The 20576-nt window shown below is 50.0% G+C and overlaps 1 protein-coding gene across 3 annotated transcripts in view; it reads right to left on the reverse strand.

Annotated features, from left to right (window-relative positions):
* The window catches only part of ASMTL (acetylserotonin O-methyltransferase like), a 50618-nt gene that overhangs the window by 20864 nt on the left and 9178 nt on the right, over positions 1 to 20576 (reverse strand). For 2 of the 3 annotated variants that reach the window (NM_001173473.2, NM_004192.4), the window contains exons 2-8: positions 18184 to 18315; positions 15095 to 15142; positions 11692 to 11756; positions 11020 to 11081; positions 8267 to 8375; positions 3732 to 4119; positions 1523 to 1685 (exon numbers count right to left, since the gene is read on the reverse strand). In NM_001173473.2, coding sequence (NP_001166944.1) covers positions 1523 to 1685; positions 3732 to 4119; positions 8267 to 8375; positions 11020 to 11081; positions 11692 to 11756; positions 15095 to 15142; positions 18184 to 18234 — 886 coding nt within the window. In that variant the 5' untranslated portion in view covers positions 18235 to 18315. The remainder of the gene's footprint in view (positions 1 to 1522; positions 1686 to 3731; positions 4120 to 8266; positions 8376 to 11019; positions 11082 to 11691; positions 11757 to 15094; positions 15143 to 18183; positions 18316 to 20576) is intronic. The other variant, NM_001173474.2, reaches the window with a different exon arrangement.

Consider the following 20576-nt stretch of genomic DNA (forward strand, 5'->3'; position numbering starts at 1 on the left):
CACTCATCCATCCATCTGTCCATCCATCCATCCATCCACCCACCCACCTACCCATCCATCCACCCATCCACTGATGGATCCACTGATCCATCCACCCATGCATGCATCCATCCATCCACATCCATTTATCCATTCATTCCCCCACCCATCCAATCACTCATCCATCCATCCATCCACCCACCCACCCACCCATCTGTTCACCCACCCTCCCCATCATCCACCCAGCCATGCACCCGTCCATCCATTCATGCACTCATCCACATGCCCACTCATCCATCCACCCATCCAACCACCCACCTACCCATTCATCCATCCATTCCCCCACCCAGCTACCCAACCACCGATCCACTGATATATCTGTTCATCCACCCTCCCATCCATCTGTCCACCCACCCATCCGTCTATTCACCCACACTCCCAATCATCCACCCAGCCGTGCACCCATCCATCCACTCATCCATCCATTCACACGCCCACCCATCCACACGCCCACTCATCCATCTATCCACACATCTATCCACTCACCCATCCATCCACACATCCATCCATCCATCCATCTGTCCGTCCATCCATCCATCCAGCCACCCATCCACTCACCCACTTATCCATCCACCCATCCATCCACTTACCCACCCATCTATGCACTCATCCACCGATTCATCGATCCATCCATCCATCTACCCACCTTTATCCATCCAGTCATCCACCCATCCATCCACACATCCTTCCATTCACACATCCATCCATCTATCCACTCACCCACTCATCCATCCACCCATCCATCCACTTACCCACCCATCTACCCACCCTTCCATTTATCCATCCACCTCTCCATCCATCCATCTATCCATCCACCCACCCACCCATCCATCCACCCATCCACTGATCCACCAATCCATCCACCTTCCCATCCATGTATCTATCCATCCATTGATCAATCCATCTGTCCATCCATCCATCCATCCATCCCTCCTCCCATCCATCTATCCACCTACCATCCATCCATCCATCCATCCATCCTTCCTCCCATCTATCCACCTACCATCCATCCATCCATCTATCCATCCATCCATTTATATATCAACTCTACCCATCATCTATGTATCTGTCATCTCTCTATCGTCAATCTATATCAATGTATCTATGCATTTATCATCTATCTATGTATCTGTCTACCCATCCATCTACGTTATTTGTCTATAAAAATAAATAAGCAACTAAATCAATGTCTGTGTACACCGTATTGGGTTCTGTTTCTCAGGAGAACATGGACTGATACAGCCCCTTTGAGACTAGAGCCCATAAGGAGGTCACGCTTCTCCTATGTGCTCGCGGCTGCCACTGTTCCCTCTCTGTCATTCACCCTCTGCTTCTCAACCTTTCGGGAAAAGCAGCATTCCTGAGGGCAGAGGGACAGAAGGTGTGGGCCTCCTTCCTCGCTCTGCCCAGGCTCCAGGTCACCTTCCCTCAGTGACTTCCACCTGCAAAGATCCTCAGAGCAAAACCCGCTGGGTCCTGTCACCTTGCTCTGTCTTCTCCAGGAGCCCCATGGCAGCACAGATGTCCAGAAGCCTCTCCATTCCACACGCAGAGGCGTCCACTTTGCTGGCAATATCCGCAGCCTTCTGGGGTGCTTCATCTTTTAACAAATCGAACACCTTCAGTTTGCAAGCGGTGAGCAGGCCCTGTTAAAAGCAAGTGCAGAGAGACTCATTAAGTCCCTTGTCCAGTACTTTCTACTCCCACAGACTCAAAAGATGGAGGCCAACGCTGTCGGAAGTATACAACTTGGCCATTGAGCCTTCTTTCACAGAGAACGGTGGGGATTTATAGGATCAAGTCCCCAGCTATAAAACAAGGTGTACACAAGGAAAAAGCACATCAACGAATATCATGCAGAAAAACTAGCCCATGGGAGAAAAATCAACATGCTGCCGATATGGACTGAGTTCAAAACCCAGATGTTGAACTCCTAATCCCCCCAGTCCCTCAGGATGTGACTGTATTTGTAGGCAGGGTTTTAAAGAAGTGATTCAGGTAAAATGAGGTCATTTGGGTGGACCCTAATCCAATAGGACTGGGGTCCCTATAAGAAAAGGAGATGAGGACACAGACACACACACAGGGACGACCCTGTGAGGACACAGGGAGAAGACAGCATCTCCAAGCCCAGGAGAGAGGCCTCAGGAGGAACCAGCCCTGCCCACACGTTGATCTTGGACCTCCAGCCTCCAGGACTGTGGGAGAATCAATGTCTGTTGTTTATAAACCACCTGGTGGTGATTTAATAATCACCACTTGGTAAATTAGAGGCACAGACGGAATGTGCTGTAACCACCTTTATTCCTTATTCACTGCATGTTCTCTCTCCTGATGATGAATGGCAGGAGGTGTCATCAGCCCGTCTCCCTGTCTCCCAAAGCCTGCGTCCCTCCTGCACCCGACATCCCCACCTCTGCTTCCCGGAGGACGCCCTGTGAGGGACCCCTGGTGTTGGGAGGGCTGCATCCCTTCTAGGCTGCCACCGTGAGGGGCCCCTGAACAGAACAGCTGAAAGATGGGGCCTCAGGCCGGGCGCGCTGGCTCACGCCTGTAATCCCAGCACTTTAGGAGGCCGAGGCGGGTGGATCAGCTGAGGTCAGGAGTTCGAGACCATCCTGGCCAACATAGCGAAACCCTGTCTCTACTAAAAGTACAAAAATTAGCCGGGCTTGGTGGTGGGCGCCTGTAATCAGGAGGCTACTCCTGAGGCTACTCAGGATCTCCTCTTGAGATTCTTAATTACATCTGCTAAGACCCCTTTTTAAAACAAGGTCCCATTCACAGATTCTGGGGATCAGGCTATGAACAGATCTTTCAGGAGGACCACAGTTAGGAGGCTGAGGCAGGAGAATCGCTTGAACCCGGGAGGCAGAGGTTGCAGTGAGCCGAGATCATGCCACTGCACTCCAGCCTGGATGACAGAGCCAGACTCTGTCTCAAAAACAAAAACAAAAACAAAAAAAAGAGAAAAAGAAAAAAGGGTCTTTGCAGACGTAAGTAAGCTAGGGGACTTCAGATGAGTTGGAGTCAGTGGATTAGGGAGACCTCAAAATCCAATGACAGGTGTCCTTCTAAGAGACAGAAGAGACACAGACACAGAGGAGAAGGCCACGTGGAGACAAAGGCAGAGACTGGAGTGATACGGCCACAAGCCCAGGGATGCCTGGAGCCCCCAGGAGCTGGGAGAGGCAGGAAGGACCCTCCCCTGGGGCCTCCAGAAGGAACTGGATACATCTGTAGTGGACTGAACTGTGGTCCTCCTGAAAGATCTGTCCATATCCTGATCCCCAGAATCTGTGAATGGGACCTTGTTTTAAAAAGGGGTCTTGGCAGATGTAATTAAGAATCTCAAGAGGAAATCATCACGAAGAAGGGTGGACTCCAAGTCCAATGACAGGTGTCCTTCTAAGAGACAGAGGAGGAGACACAGACACAGTGGATGAGGCCACGTGGAGGACGTGGCAGAGACTGGAGTGATGCGGCCACAAGCCCAGGGATGCCTGGAGCTGTCAGGAGCTGGGAGAGGCAGGAAGGACCCTCTCCTAGAACCTTCGGAGAAAGCATGGCCCTGAGACAACCTGACCTCAGACTGCCAGCCTCCAGGACAGTGAGAAGTAAATTCCCTTTGATTTAAGCCGAGTGTGTAGGCTCATTTGTGAAATGTGGCCTGAGGAGACAGACACAGGTACCTTGGATAGCATAAAGCCCTCAATCAGCTCCAGGAGGCGTGTCGGGAACGGAGGCAGGGTCTCCCGAGTCCTGTGACACTCAGCCTCTGCCGTGGCCTGTCCCGCCTCTCCCGCCTCGGCCTTCTCATCGCGGCTGCCCGCGTCCCTCTGAGTGGGCTCCGAGCCGCCCCCCTCCACGTCACTGAGGTCTTCGAAGGTGTCCGCGGCCGGGATGGAGTCGTGCTTGACACTCCGCCGCAGGTCCTCCGGACGGGGCGGGTAGTAGAGCTTCACCAGCTGCTTGCAGAAGTGGTTCAGCGGGAATCCCACCACGTTCAGAAAGTCCCCGTGTACGGACTCCACCAGCATGCCGCCCAGGGCCTGGATCCCGTAGCCGCCAGCTTTGTCCCTGGGTGGGCAGGGGAAGGTAAGAGGTGACAAGGAGGAGAAAAGTTCCTGGGTCTGAACATTTCACGGCTGGGAGGCGGAGGTGGGTGGATCACGAGGTCGGGAGATCGAGGCCATCCTGGCTAACACAGTGAAACCCTGTCTCTACTAAAAAAAATACAAAAAATTAGCCAGGCGTGGGGGCAGGCGCCTTTGGCATCTCAAAAAAAAAAAAAAAAAGAAAAACAATTTCACAGCAAGGCTGGGCGCAATGGCTCACGGCTGTAATCCCAGCACTTTGGGAGGCCGAGACGGGTGGATTACTTGAGGTCAGAAGTTCAAGACCAGCCTGGCCAACACGGTGAAACCCCATCTCTACTAAAAATACAAAAATTAGCCGGGTGTGGTGTGGTGGCACACGCCTGTAATCCCAGCTACCCAGGAGGCTGAGACAGGAGAATCACTTGAACCCAGGAGGAGGAGGTTGCAGTGAGCCGAGATCGTGCCACTGCACTCCAGCCTGGGCGGCAGAGGAAGACTCCGTCTCAAATAAATAAATAAATAAATAAAATTTCATGTGTTAAATGGGATGTTTTGACATATGTATACATGCGTCATCATTAAATCAAGCCAATTATCCCATTCAGCATCTCATCTACGAATTGTGTGTGTGTGTGTGGGGAGAAGACTTCAGATCTAGTGTGCTGGCAATTTACCAGTAAGACACTGTTCCTATAAACCACAGTCACAGGCTGTAAAGAGCCTTGAACTTCTTCCTCCTGTCTCACTTTTTTATTTTTTATTTTTATTTTTTAAAGACAGAGTCTCGCTCTGTCGCCCAGGCTGGAGTGCAGTGGCGCGATCTCGGCTCCCTGCAACCTCCGCCTCCTGGGTTCAAGCGATTCTCCTGCCTCAGCCTCCCGGGTAGCTGGGATGACAGGCACCTGCCAACACACCCGGCTAATTTTTGTATTTAGTAGAGACGGGGTTTCACCATGTTGGCCACGATGGTCTCGAACTCCTGACCTCAGGTGATGCGCCTGCCTCGGCCCCCCAAAGTGCTGGGATTACAGGTGTGAACCACCACGTCTGGCCCTCTTTTCTCTTTCTTATTTTATCTATTTTTTTTTTTCAAGACAGGGTCTCACTCGGTTGCTCAGGCTGAAGTGCAGTGGTACATTCTTGGTTCTCTGCTCCCTCAAAATTCTGGGCTCAAATGATGCTGTAATCTCAGCCTCCCACGTAGCAGGGACACACTCAGCTAGTTTTATCATTTTTTATAAAGATGGGGTTTCACTCTGTTGCCCAGGCTGGTCTCGAACTCCTGGGATGAAGTGATCCTCCCGTCTTGGCTTGAGCTACTGTGCCCGGCCTGTCTTTCTTTAAATGTATGTAAACATTAAAGTATGTATGAAAGTGCAGGTGTTGGGCTGGGCGCGGTGGCTCCCAGCACTTCGGGAGGCTGAGGCAGGCAGATCACCTGAGGTCAGGAGTTCGAGACCAGCCTGGCCAACATGGCAAAACCCCTTCTCTACTAAAAATAAAAAATTCGCCAGGCGTGGCGGTGGGTGCCTGTAGTCCCAGCTACTTGGGAAGCTGAGGCAGGAGAATCGTTTGAAACTGGAAGGTGGAGGTTGCAGTGAGCCAAGATCGCGCCACTGCACTCCAGCCTGGGTGACGGAGGAAGACTCCGTCTCAAAAAAAATTTCATGTGTTAAATGGGATGTTTTGATATATGTATACATGTGACATCATTAAATCAAGCCAATTATCCCATCGAGCACCTCATGTACCTATTCTGTGTGTGTGGGGAGAAGACTTCAGATGTAGTGTGCTGGCAATTTTCCAGTAAGACACTGTTCCTGTAAACCACAGTCACTAGGCTGTAAAGAGCCTTGAACTTCTCCCGTCTCACTTAATTTTTTTTTTTTAAAAGACGGAGTCTCGCTCTGTTGCCCAGGCTGGAGTGCAGTGGCGCGATCTCGGCTCACTGCAACCTCCACCTGCTGGGTTCAAGCGATTCTCCTGTCTCAGCCTCCTGGGTAGCTGGGATTACAGGCACCTGCCACCACACCGGGCTAATTTTTGTATTTTTAGTAGAGATTGGGATTTGCCATATCCAGGCTGGTCTTGAACTTCTGACCTCAGGTGATCCGCCTGCCTCGGCCTCCCAAAGTATTGGGATGACAGGCGTGAGCCACCATGCCTGGCCCTGATTTAAATCTTGTATCCTTTGACCAAGTGCAACTGTTTTATATTCCATATAAGTGAGATCCTGTGGTATGTGTCTTCTTCTGCCGGGCTTATTTCAATTGATGTAAAATCCTCTAGGTTAATATACATATATATTACGCAGACTCCATCTCTACAAAAACTAACAATAAAATCGGCCGCGTGTGTTGGTGCGTGTCCTGTGGTCCCACCTACTCAGGAGGCTTTGGTGGAAGGATCGCCTGAGCCCAGGAGTTCAAGACCAGCCTGGGCAACATAGTGAGACCCCATTGCTACAAAAAATAGAAAAAATTAGCCAGGCGTGGTGGTATGCGTCTGCAGACCCAGCCACTAGTGGGGCTGAGGTGAGAGGATCATTTTGACTCAAGAGGCTGACGCTGCAGTGAGCTATGACTGTACCACTGCACTCCAGCCTGGGTGACAGAGTGAGACCGTGTCTCAAAAAAATAAATAAAATTATTTATATAAATATATAAAATAAACATATATTTTATACAAATGTATTTATATACATATATTTATATATTTATATACTTTTATAATATAAAAATATATTTTATATAATTATATATTTATATAACACATAATACATTATATATTATATATAACTAATATGTATTACATATATTTAATTAATATATAATTTACATATAATCACACTTTATATTATTATGTAATATGTATTAATATGCAGTTACATATATTAATCATATTTAATACATATTACATATTATCCATATATTCATATATTTCTATATTATATAAATATATAATTATATTTTATAATATATAATCATTTTATAATTATATATATAATTATATATAATTTATATTTATATAATTGTTTATAATTATATATAATTATATATCATTTATAATTAATTATATATAATTATAAATTATATTTATATATAATTATAAATATATGTAATTATATATTTATATATAAATAAAATTAAATATATAAAATATATAAAATTATATATTTTATATATAATTATAAATAATTATAAATATAAATTATATAATTTATATATAATTATAATCGATTATAACTACCTATTATATAATCTATTTTAACAGTTATATAACCTATCATATAATCTATTATAACAGTATATATTATAATAGATGGTATATATTACATTAATATTAATCACTACTTATTAAAATTAATCATTAAAAATCATTAAATTTCAATCAAAAGTGTTAATATATAATCTATATTATAATATCTATATGTAATATAGTATACATATTACAGTATAATCTATTATAGTATATAATACAATATATTATAAATATATATTATATAATTTGTATAATGTAGATTATATATAATTAATAGAATATATAATGTGGAATACATAAATTATATATAATTGTAAATATATATCATGTTACATTATATAATGTATAATTATGTAGACATTATATGACATATGATGTAGATAAATATAATACATATAAACGCAAATGGTGGGTGATGAAGTGAAGCTGATTGGTGCACGCATACTTCCCGTGCTCACCAATCTGTGGACGGGACGACAGGTAGAATCACCTCTTAGGGTGACTTTGGATCACAGAGTTTATTCGTGTTAATTGCAGCCAGCGTCCTGGGCACAGACCTCTGGGGTCTCCTCCTCCCACCACGTGAACTCCTCTACCCCTGCCCAGCGCCTCCCCAGTCCCCACCGCAGCCCAGCGTTGGCTCCCACCCTGCCCCTCTCTGTCCTGGGAGTTTGCCTCTTTGAGCCTCCATGGGTCAGTGTGGTCGTGAAGGGTTTGTGCTTCTGAGCCGGGCGGCTCTCCCTGTGCCACACGGCCCCCGGAGCGGGGCCTCCTTCTTTCCCAAAGGCTGGGTGGGACACCCCACGTGTGAGGGTGGCCAGGCTTCCACACGTGTCCCCCGTCCCCCCACCGCCCCCGAGACTCACATGGGCTCCCCGCTGTGGACGTATTCCCAGAGCAGCTCCTCGGACAGCTCCGAGAACTTCACCTTCGTTTCCTCGTAGAATTCCGAGACCCTGGTGTCCAGCTGATGGTCTGCAAGGACACAGCCGTGGGGGTGAGCGTGGACGCCAGCTTGTCACCTCCGTGCCCTGACAGCTGCGTGGCTGTGCTGTGGAGGTGTGTACTCGAGCGCAGCGCACAGTTCAGATATGGATGCTTCATGGGAGAATAAGGTTCATTTCGGACAAGAAAAGGGAGAAAGGGGCCGGGCGCGGTGGCTCACGCCTGTCATCCCAGCACCTTGGGAGGCCGAGGCGGGTGGATCACGAGGTCAGGAGTTCGAGACCATCCTGGCTAACACGGTGAAACCCCGTCTCTACTAAAAATACAAAAAATTAGCCAGGCCTGGTAGTAGGTGCCTGTAGTCCCAGCTACTCGGGAGGCTGAGGCAGGAGAATCGCTTGAACCCGGGAGGTGCAGGTTGCAGTGAGCCGAGATCGCGCCCCTGCATTCCAGCCTGGGCCACAGAGCGAGACTCCGTCTCTAAAAAAAACAAAAGAAACAGCAGTTTGGGCGGCCGAGGCGGATGGATCACCAGAGGCCAGGGGTTCGAGACCAGCCTGGCCAACATGGCGAAACCCCGTCTCTACTAAAAATACAAAAATTAGCCGGGCGTGGTGGCATGCACCTGTCATCCCAGCTACTCGGGAGGCTGAGGCAGGAGAATCGCTTGAACCCGGGAGGCGGAGGTTGCAGTGAGCCAAGATCACGCCACTGTACTGCAGCCTGGGCGACAGAGCGAGACTCTGTCTCAAATAAATAAATAATAAAAGAAACAGATGTTTGGTCTGTGCCTCAGGGTCCGGACACAGAGCCCCTGAATCCCGGGGAATCTGTTGAGTGACAGGAGCGAAAGCAGGCGTTTTGCTATGTGGTGACAAGCCCCTTTCATCCGCAGGGGACCTTATGTTAATGAGGGGCCTTTTGGAAAGGGCAGGCTTTGGTTGTCATGGGAACAGGGGGAGGGGGCTGGAGATGGAGTTTGCTCCCCAGTGGCGGATGATGTCGTTAATCCTGGCCTTTTAAGAGACCCAGAAGGGACCGCGCGCGGTGGCTCACGCCTGTCATCCCAGCACTTTGGGAGGCCGAGGCGGGCGGATCACAAGGTCAGGAGATCGAGACCCTCCTGGCTACCACGGTGAAACCCCGTCTCTACTAAAAAAAAAAAAAAAAAAAAAATAGAAAAAATTAGCCGGGCGTGGTGGCGGGCCCGTCGTCCCAGCTACTCGGGAGGCTGAGGCAGGAGAAGGGCGTGAACCCGGGAGGCGGAGCTTGCAGTGAGCCGAGATGGCGCAAGTGCACTCTAGCCTGGGCGATAAAGCGAGACTCTGTCACAAAAAAGAAAAAAAAAAGAGACCCAGAAGGACAGGGTTCAGGGAGCTTCTGGTGGGTGAACACATCAGGGTGTTGGCAGAGCTGTGCCACGGCGGGCATGGAGGCTCCATACATCCTGCACCCAGCACCCTGCGCTGTGCCTGGCTTCTGTCTGGCACTTCCTGACCTGCTCCTTCATAACAAAACCCCAAGCTGGGAAGGAAAGTGCTGTCCCGAGTTCTGTGAGCCCCTCGAGCAAATGACCCAACCTGAGCAGGTGCTTGCAGGAGCCAGCAGTGAGCGGCAGGTGGGTGAGAAAACTACAGGTGTGACCAGGGATATGGGGCTGGGATTGTGCGTGGAGGTCCCATGGGACCCGGCCCTTCACCTGTGGGATCTGCGCTAACTCCGACGGCTACTGTCAGAACTGACTGAATTCTACGATGCCTCCTGGTGTCCGCCAACAAGCTGGGAATGGGTTGGTGCAGGAAGAACCCAGCAATATGGTGATACAACTGCCTGGGCCGGGCACCGTGGTGCACACCTGCAGTCCCAGCAATATGGTGAACACCTGCAGTCCCAGCACTTTGGGAGGCTGAGATGGGAGGATTTCTTCAGCCCAGGAGTTCGAGACCAGTCTGGGCAACATAGCAAGACCGCACCTCTATAAAAAATACAAAAATGAGCCAGGTGTGGTGGCGTGTGCCTGTAGTTTCTGTGACTGTAGGGGCTGAGGCGGGAGGATCGCTGGAGCTCAGGAGGTCGAGGCTGCAGTGAGCTATGATCACACCACTGCACTCCAGCCTGGGTGACAGAGGGAGACCCTGTCTCAAAAAAAAAAAAAAGAAAGAAAGAAAGAGAAAGGCCGGGTGCAGTAGCTCACACCTGTAATCCCAGCACTTTGGGAGGCTGAGGCGGGTGGATCACCTGAGGTCAGGAGTTCGAGACCAGCCTGGCCAACATGGTGAAACCCCGTCTCTACTAAAAATACAAAAATTAGCCGGGCATGGTGGTGGGCACCTGTAATCCCAGCTACTGAGGCAGAAGGATCACTTGAACTTGGGAGGCGGAGGTTGCAGTGAGCTGAGATCGTGCCACTGCCCTCCAGCCTGGGTAAGAGAGCGAGACTCCATCTCAAAAAAAAAAAAAAAAGAAAGAAAAAGAAAAAGATAAAACCACACGTTTTCCTTTGTCCTGCAGACTTCCAAATCGGCGGACAACTTTCCCAAGCAGGACATAGGCACAAACCCCTCCACAGGTGGGGGTGAGCAACCGTCCTCCTCCCTCAAGCCAAGGGTCCCGAGAATGTCCCGGGTCCTTGTCTCGGCCTCTGGGGCTACCCCGAAACCTGGGCCGCGGTTACCTTTGCTGGAGCAGTGGACGATCGCGACACCTGTGAACACGCTGTGTTCTCTCCCACTCAACCTGTAAGACAACAACGGGTGACCACGTGACCATGCTGTGACCCGTGGGAGCTACAAAGCGAGTTTCTCAAAACCAGGGGAGGCAGCGAGGCGTCCTTAATCCTGGATCCGTCCCCAGCATCTTCTCCCCGATCGTCCCGCTGTGGGGTCTCCAGGGAAACCTTTACGGAGAGGCCGAGGGAAGGGGTCACAAATCCCACCAGCAGTGGCCCTGACGGGAGGCGCCAGGCCAGGCAGCTCTCAGCTGGGCCTATGGCGGGCAGGGGGTGCATCTCTTCCACGTCCTGGGATGGGGATGACGTCCCAGGCTACGGGCTCAGGTCCAGGATGCCCAGTGGGAAGGACAGGACACTGCCAACTTCTCATGACCCCAACAGTCTGCAGTGGGCATGAGACATTCTGGGATCAGTGCTGCAGAATCCTAGACAAGGATGAGCATGGAGGGATAGTGCCTGCCTCCCTGCATAGCTCAGACAGCACAGCTCAGACAGCACAGCTCAGACGGCAGAGCTGACAGAGATCCACCCTGCTCCCCAGGACACCCGGCCAGATACCACAGCTACTCTGTGGCTCAGAACCCGAGAGGGCTCAGAGGCCAACATGGTGCTTACCGGGACAGCATCCTGTAGGCGTCCTGCTTGTCCACCGGCTTCTCCAGAATCAGCCCCCCGACTGTCTGTGAGAGGAAGGGACAGAGGGAGTTGGTTCCCACCGGCTGGGTCAGGCCTGTGCAAGTCCCACGGTCCCATTCGCAGAAGTCACTTGTTTTATGGAAATGAAGCTGACACGTCCTGAGAGTCGCCATTTCAAACAACTAACCAGAGTTGCCATGTTGTACCACCACTACCTGCCTGGTTCCAGGATGTTCTCTTCACTCCAGAAGGAGACCCTGTCCCCACGCAGCTGTCCCTCCCCAGTGCGCCTCCCCAGATCCTGGTAACCGCCCATCCTCTTTCTTTCACCGTGCGTTTGCCTGTTGCGGACGTGGTGTAGTCATGGAATCCTGCAACGTGTGGTCCTCCGGGGCTGGTTTCTGTCACTGACCGTGATGTCCTCAACATTCATCCATGTTGCAGCCTGTTTCACAGCCTCGTTCCTTTCCTTTTCTTGAGATGGAGTCTCACTCTGTCGCCCAGGCTGGAGTGCAGTGGCACGGTCTTGGCTCACTGCAACCTCCGCCTCCGGGGTTCAAGTGATTCTCCTGCCTCAGCCTCCCGAGTTGCTGGGAATACAGGTGCACACCACCATGCCTGGCTAATTTTTGTTATTTTTTATTTATTTATTTTTTGAGACAGAGTCTCGCTCTATCACCCAGGCTGGAGTGCAGTGGCGCGATCTCGGCTCACTGCAAGCTCCGCCTCCCGGGTTCACGCCATTCTCCTGCCTCAGCCTCCCGAGTAGCTGGGACTACAGGCGCCCGCCACCACACCCGGCTAATTTTTTGTATTTTTAGTAGAGACGGGGTTTCACCATGTTGGCCAGGATGGTCTCGATCTCCTGACCTTGTGATCCACCCGCCTCGGCCTCCCAAAGTGCTGGGATGACAGGGGTGAGCCACCGCACCCGGCCAGCCTCATTCCTGTTCATGGCTGCATAATATTCCACTGTGTGTGGATGGACCATGTTGTAATTTCCCATTTACCCACTGACAGACACTTGAGCTGTTTCTGCCTTTTAGCTGTTGTGAATAGTGCTGCTGTGAACATTCATGTAGAAGGTTTTGGTGGAACACCTGTTTTGAATCCTTTTGGGTACATACAAGAGTAGATGTATTAGTCTGACTGGGCCACCATAGCAAAGTCCTACAACCCAGGTGGCTTAAACTACAGACATTGATTCTCCCATCGTCGTGGAGACTGGAAGGGCGAGATCCAGGTGTGGGCAGGGCTGGTTCCTCCTGAAGCCTCTCTCCTGGGCTTGGAGATGCCATCTTCTCCCTGTGTCCTCACAGACTCGTCCCTCTGTATCTGTGTCCTCATCTCCTCTTCTTATGAGATGCTTTAGTCCATCTCAGGCTGCTGTCACAGAATACCACAGACTGGGTGGCTTATAAACAACAGGCAGTGATTCTCCCACAGCCCTGGAGGCTGGAGGTCTGAGATCCAGGTGTGGGCAGGGCTGGTTCCTCCTGAGGCCTCTCTCCTAGGCTTGTAGACGCCGTCTTCTCCCTGTGTCCTCACAGGGTCATCCCTCTGTGTGTGTCTGTGTCCTTATCTGCTCTTCTTATGAGGTGTCTTAGTCCATTTCAGGCTGCTAAAACAATACTATAGACTGGGTGGCTTATAAACAGCAGACATTGATTCTTCCATAATCCTGGAGTCTGGAAGTCTGAGATCCAGGTGTGGGCAGGGCTGGTTCCTCCTGAGGCCTCTCTCCTGGGCTTGGAGACGCCGTCTTCCCCCTGTGTCCTCACAGGGTCGTCCCTCTGTGTGTGTCTGTGTCCTCATCTCCTCTTCTTATGAGATGTCTTAGTCCATTTCAGGCTGCTATCACAGAATACCATAGACTGGGTGGCTTATGAACAAAAGACATGGGCCGGGCGTGGTGGCTCACGCCTGTAATCCTAGCACTTTGGGATGCCGAGGCGGGTGGATCACAAGGTCAGGAGATCGAGACCATCCTGGCCAACATGGTGAAACCCCGTCTCTACTAAAAATACAAAAAATTAGCCACACGTGGTCGCGCGCACCTGTAGTCCCCGCTACTCGGGAGGCTGAGGCAGGAGAATCATTGAAACCCGGGAGGCGGAGGTTGCAATGAGCTGAGATCATGCCACTACAGTCCAGCCTGGCGACAGAGTGAGACTCCATCTCAAAAAAAAAAAAAAGGAGAAATGGGTCTTTGCCTAGGTAATTAAGATGCGGTTGGACAGAATTAGGATGCGCATTTTATGAGTGGTGTTGTTAAAAGAAGGGGAAAATTTCAGCCGGGCGCGGTGGCTCACGCCTGTCATCCCAGCACTGTGGGAGGCTAAGGTGGGCAGATCACTTGAGGTCGGGAGTTTGAGACCAGCCTGGCCAACATGGTGAAACCCCGTCTCTACTAAAAATACAAAAATCAGCCGGGCGTGGTGGCGGGTGCCTGTGATCCCAGCTACTCAGGAGGCAGGAGAATCGCTTGAACCCGGGAGGCGGAGGTCCCGGTGAGCCGAGATCACGCCACTGTAATCCAGCCTGGGCAACACAGTGAGACTCTCTCTCAAAAAAAAAAAAGAAGAGGGAAATTTGGCCACAGACACCCAGAGGGGAGAAGGCCACATGGAGATGGAGGCACAGATAGGAACCACAGGGCCATGAGCCAAAGGAGACAATGGGTTGCCAACAGCCTCTAGGAGCTGGAGAAAGACCAAGACCAACTTCTCCTCAGTACCTCTGGAAGGAAGAAACCCTACAGACACCGTGATTTGTGGTTGCTGGCCTCTAGAACTGCGTACCTTCCTGTGCCTTTTGAGACGGAGTCTCGCTCTTGTCACCCAGGCTGGAGTGCAGTGGCGCGATCTCGGCTCACTGCAACCCCGCCTCCTGGGTTCGAGCGATTCCCCTGCCTCAGCCTCCCGAGTAGCTGCGATTACAGGCGGAGTCTGTATTCTGTATCATTGATGATATAGAATTAATGTAGCTTATCTGTTACTATGTGTTATAATATTCTCTTGCAATTGATATCATATAGTATCACTTATGATACTATCAATTAGCCACCACGTCTGGCTAATTTTTGTATTTTTAGTAGAGATGGGGTTTTACCGTGTTGGTCGGGCTGATCTCGAACCCATGACCTAAGGTGATCCGCCCACCTCGGCCTCCCAAAATGCTGGGATGACAGGGGTGAGCCACGGCGCCTGGCCCCTTCCCGTGCCCTTAGGCCCCTCATCTGCTGGTAGTTTGTGATGGGAGTTTCTGGAAGCGAGTCCACTGCTGTCTTAAGGGGAATGTACAACATCCACAAGAGGCAGAATCACCAAGCACAGGAAAACCACATCGGACATTAGAAACGAGGCACCCTGGCCGCACTCACCACGATCGTGTCCGCTCCAATGACCACGTCGGGGGCCCGCAGGTCTTTCTGTAAGAAAACCAGATTCCGGTTTACCGGTGACGTGCCGTGGGTCTCACAGAGAAGTTTTCCCGTCGGTACGGGCGTGAAAGAGCACCGCAGGGGCGAAGCCAGGCCGACTTTGGAAGTGAAGGCTGGGGGTGCTCAAGGTCACGAGCAAGGACACAAGTGGGTCCCGCCGGTGGTCGCCCTGCAGGGGCTGGAACGTGGGTGAGGCCGGGGCCCACGGGGGCTGCGTGATCAGGGGTCAGGCACTCACGGAGCATCTCACGGGCACTACGGGAAACGCAATGCCTGTTCCGTAAGCTTTTGTTCTTCCGGGCGGCAGGTAAGGTTTGATTCAGGGGCCCCAAACCTCCCTGAGTTACCCAGAATTAAGGCCAAAAGGTTTTTGATCCGTTCAATGTAATTTCAGAAAAAGCTACTTAGGGCTGGGCGCGGTGGCTCACGCCTGTCATCCCAGCACTCTGGGAGGCCGAGGCGGGCGCATCTCCTGAGGTCAGGAGTTCGAGACCAGCCTGGCCAACATGGTGAAACCCCGTCTCTACTAAAAATACAAAATATCAGTCGGGCACCTGTAATCTCAGCTACTCAGGAGGCTGAGGCAGCAGAATCGCTTGAACCTAGGAGGCGGAGGTTGCAGTGAGCCAAGGTTGCGCACCTGCACTCCAGCCTGGGTGACAGAGTGAGACTCAGTCTCCAAAAAAAAAAAGAAAAAAAAAAACAAGGAAAAGAAAGAAAAAGAAAAAGGTACTTAGGACGATAAAACAAATCCAGGTTGAAAATTCAGCCTCAGAGCAACAGGCAGTCACAGGACATCTGTGTGCAGCTTTGACCTTAGCTCAGCCCCGCACTGGCCTCCCTAAGCTGTGCACTGCCAAAACCCACAATCAATACTCCTGTCTTGATAGCACGACTCACAACAGCCTTACCTCTAATGTATTTCTTTCTTTCTTTTTTTTTTTTTTTGAGATGGAGTCTCGCTCTGTCGCCCAGGCTGGAGGGCAGTGGCGCGACCTCGGCTCACTGCAAGCTCCGCCTCCCGGGTTCACGCCATTCTCCCGCCTCAGCCTCCCGAGTAGCTGGGACTACAGGCGCCCGCCACCGCGCCCAGCCAATATTTTGTGTGTGTTTTTAGTACAGACGGGGTTTCACCGTGTGAGCCAGGATGGTCTTGAACTCCTGACCTCGTGATCCGCCCGCCTCGGCCTCCCAAAGTGCTGGGATGACAGGTGTGAGCCACTGCACCCGGCCCCGAATGTATTTCTTATATTAACAGTAATGGTATATTGTGTGGTAACACACAGCAGCAGGGAAGCTACATTAACTCTATATCCTAAATGATAGCATTATATTCATTGTAACAGCAAGTTAAAACACACAGTAATAGCTATGTTAATTTTATATACTGTGACTGACATTATGTTAGAGTCATATATAACATATAGTAATTGATAAGCTACATTAATTGTACATCCTAAATGACAGTAGTGTATTAATTATAATAGTGTATTACGGTGGGGTGCGGTGGCTCACGCCTGTAATCCCAACACTCCGGGAGGCCGAGGCGGGTGGATCACCTGAGGTCAGGAGTTGGAGACCAGCCTGGCCAACATGGTGAAGCCCCATCTCTACTAAAATAATATGTATTACATAGGAGCATATAGTAACAGATAAATGACATAATTCTACATTATGATACAATTATATTAATTGTCATAGTATATTACATAGTATCACACAGTAACATATTAATTCTATGTATCACAACACATAGTAATGGATGTTAATTCTATATCGTAACTGATATTACTATATTAATTGCAATATTATATTCAAACATAGTAACAAGCTACATGAATCTTAAATCTTAAATGATAGTAGTATATTAATTATAATTGTATATTGCATTGTAGCATACAGCAACAGATAAACTGCATAATTCTATATTATAAATGATATTATTTTAATTAAAATCCGATATTACTTAGTGGCATGGTAATAAGCTACATAATTCTATATCATAAATGATACTATTATATTAATTGCAAGAGAATATTATAACACATAGTAATAGATAAGCTACATTAATTGTATATCATCAACGAGACTATTATATTGATTGCAAGATAATTTTTGTTTTAATTTTTTATTTTTTGGAGACGAAGTCTTGCTCTGTTGCCTAAGTTGGAGTGCAGTGGGATGATCTCGGCTCACTGCAACTTCCGTCTCCCAGGTTCACGCAATTCTCCTGCCTCAGCCTCCTGAGTAGCTGGGATTACAGGCACCCGCCACCACGCCCAGCTAATTTTTGTATGTTTAGTAGAGACGGGGTTTCACCCTGTTGGTCAGGCTGGTCTCGAATTCCTGACCTCAGGTGATCTGTCCGCCTTGGCCTCCCAAAGTGCTAGGATTATAGGTATGAGCCACCGCGACCGGCCACAAGAGATTATAATACATAGTAATAGATAAGCTACATTAATTCTATATCATAAATGATACTATGAAATCAATTGCAAGAGAATATTATAACACATAGTAACAGATAATCTACATTAATTCTATATCATAAATGATACTGTGATATCAATTGTGACAATATTATAACACATAGTAATAGATAAGCTACATTAATTCTGTATCATCAATGATACTATGATATCAATTGCAAGAGGATATTATAACACATAGTAATAGATAAGCTACATTAATTGTATATCATAAATGATACTGTATCAATTGCGAGAAATTATTATAACACATAGTAACAGATAAGCTACATTAATTGTATATCATCAATGATACTGTATCAATTGCAAGAGAATATTATAACACACAGTAACAGATAAGCTCCATTAATTCTGTATCATTAATGGTATTATTAGGTTACTGCAATAGTGCATTACATTATAACATAGCAATAGCTAAGCTGTGCCACCAACTGCATCTTTTGAATGACGTTTATTTGTGTCATGTATATTTACCACCCGCAAATCCCCTCATCACAGCAAAGGAATTTTCATAAGGGCCGAAGGGCAGGGGCCCCTTGCCTGGTACAGCCGGTTGGCCACCTCCAGGGCCTTCTGCTTGGCGGTCTCCATGGCGTACCCATACGGAGTAGCGAAGGAGGCTTTGTCCAGCTTCTCTTTAAACTTGGAGGGGACCACCTCAAACCTGAGACCCTGCAACAGTAGAAAAGGGGTCAGAAGGGTCAATGAAAGACCCTATGAAAAGTGAATGGGACATGCAAGATTTGCAGGACGCACATAGCGTTTGCTACACTCCCCGACCCTGTCCCAGGTGAGCTCATCCATCCGCCAAGCTTTCCCTAAGTGTGGCTGGGGAGCCGGGGACTGACCAGGGCTTTCCCTAAGTGTGGTTAGTGGGCCGCGGACTGACCAGGGGCCTTCAGGGACTGACCAGGGGCCTTCTTGGCTCTCGAGGGAAGAGATTGGCAAAGGAAGAAGCCAGGAACAAAGAGGCCAGCAGGGAGGTATTGACTCGGGCCTTGAACCCACGAGCCAACAGTGTCCGAGGATTCCCAGAGACCTGAAGGTTGGGGCAGAGTACAAAACCCAACCTGCCCACAGGAAATTCAGGAAAAACGCCAGCAATGATGGCTGTGGGAAGGGAGACAATGATGGCTCTACGTCAATCCCTGGTACCCAGGAAGAGACAACACCGCCCCTGGGGAGGCCTGGCCTAGAGGTAGTGACCCCTGCAGAGACCGTGGGGTCAGGAATGATGGTGGTAAATGCCTCCAGTGGGGGAGCCCCTGGCTGCCACACCCTGCCAGGGTGCAGGGAACTCCGCATCTCCCCTCTGACCATCTCCCCTCTGACAGAGCAAAAGCATCGCCATCTTGGACACACACCGCCATCTTGGAGAGACACCACCATCTTGGACGCATACCACCATCGTGGACACACACCGTCGTCGTGGACACACACTGCCATCTGGGACACACACCGTCGTCGTGGACACACACCGCCGTCGTGGACACACGCCGCCATCTTGGACACACACCGCCATCGTGGACACACACCGCCATCGTGGACACACACTGCCATCTGGGACACACACCGTCGTCGTGCACACACACCGCCGTCGTGGACACACGCCGCCGTCTTGGACACACACCGCCATCATGGACACACACCGCCATCTTGGACACACACCGCCATCTTGGACACACACCGCCATCTTGGACAGACACCGCCATCTTGGACACACACCACCATCATGGACACACGCCGCCATCTTGGACACACGCCGCCATCTTGGACACACACCGCCATCTTGGACAGACACCGCCATCTTGGACACACACCACCATCGTGGACACATGCCGCCATCTTGGCCATCATGGACACAGTGTCATTGTGGACACACACCGCCATCTTGGACAGACACCTCCATCTTGGACACACACCGCCATCATGGACACACACCGCCATCTTGGACAGACACCGCCATCGTGGACAGACACCGCCATCGTGGACAGACACCGCCATCATGGACACACACCGCCATCATGGACACACACCGCCATCGTGGACACACACTGCCATCTTGGCCATCGTGGACACACACCCCCATCGTGGACAGACATCATCGTGGACACACACTGCCATCTTGGCCATCGTGGACACACACCCCCATCGTGGACAGACACCATCGTGGACACACACCGCCATTTTGGCCATCGAGGACACACACCACCATCGTGGACAGACACCGCCGTCGTGGACAGACACCCCCATCATGGACACACACCGCCATCTTGGACAGACACCCCCGTCTTGGACAGACACTGCCATGTTGGACACACACTTCCATTTTAAGTTCCCTTGATTAAAAACTGCCTAAATCCAGCCCCCAAACATCAGCCTAATGGCTAATGTCAGCATGACCAGAAACATTCCAGCCGTGGGATAAACCCCTCTGTGACCAGAAACCTCCCCTCCGACCAGAGACAGTCCAACCCCGCAATCAATTTTCCCTCACACAGAAACATTCCGAGCCTGCGAGAAGCCCCCTTTTCCAAAACCCTTTGCTGAGCCACTTTTTGTATTTTTTTTTTTTTTTTTGAAACGGAGTCTCGCTGTGTCGCCCAGGCTGGAGGGGCAGTGATGCCATCTCGGCTCACTGCAAGCTCCATCTCCCAGGATCAAGCGATTCTCCTGCCTCAGTCTCCCGAGTAGCTGGGATTGCAGGTGGGCGCCACCACACCCGGCTAATTTTTGTATTTTTAATAGAGATGGGGTTTCACCATGTTGGTCAGGCTGGTGTCGAACTCCTGACCTCAGGTGATCCGCCCGCCTCGGCCTCCCAAAGTGCTGGGATTACAGATGTGAGCCTCTGCGCCCAGGCTCACTTTCTATATTTGTTTCCTCCTTCTTAAACTCTTACATTTGGTGCCGAAACCCAGGACAGGTGTTAC

The sequence above is a fragment of the Homo sapiens genome, chromosome X (genome assembly GCF_000001405.40).
Source record: "Homo sapiens chromosome X, GRCh38.p14 Primary Assembly".
NCBI lineage: Eukaryota > Metazoa > Chordata > Mammalia > Primates > Hominidae > Homo > Homo sapiens.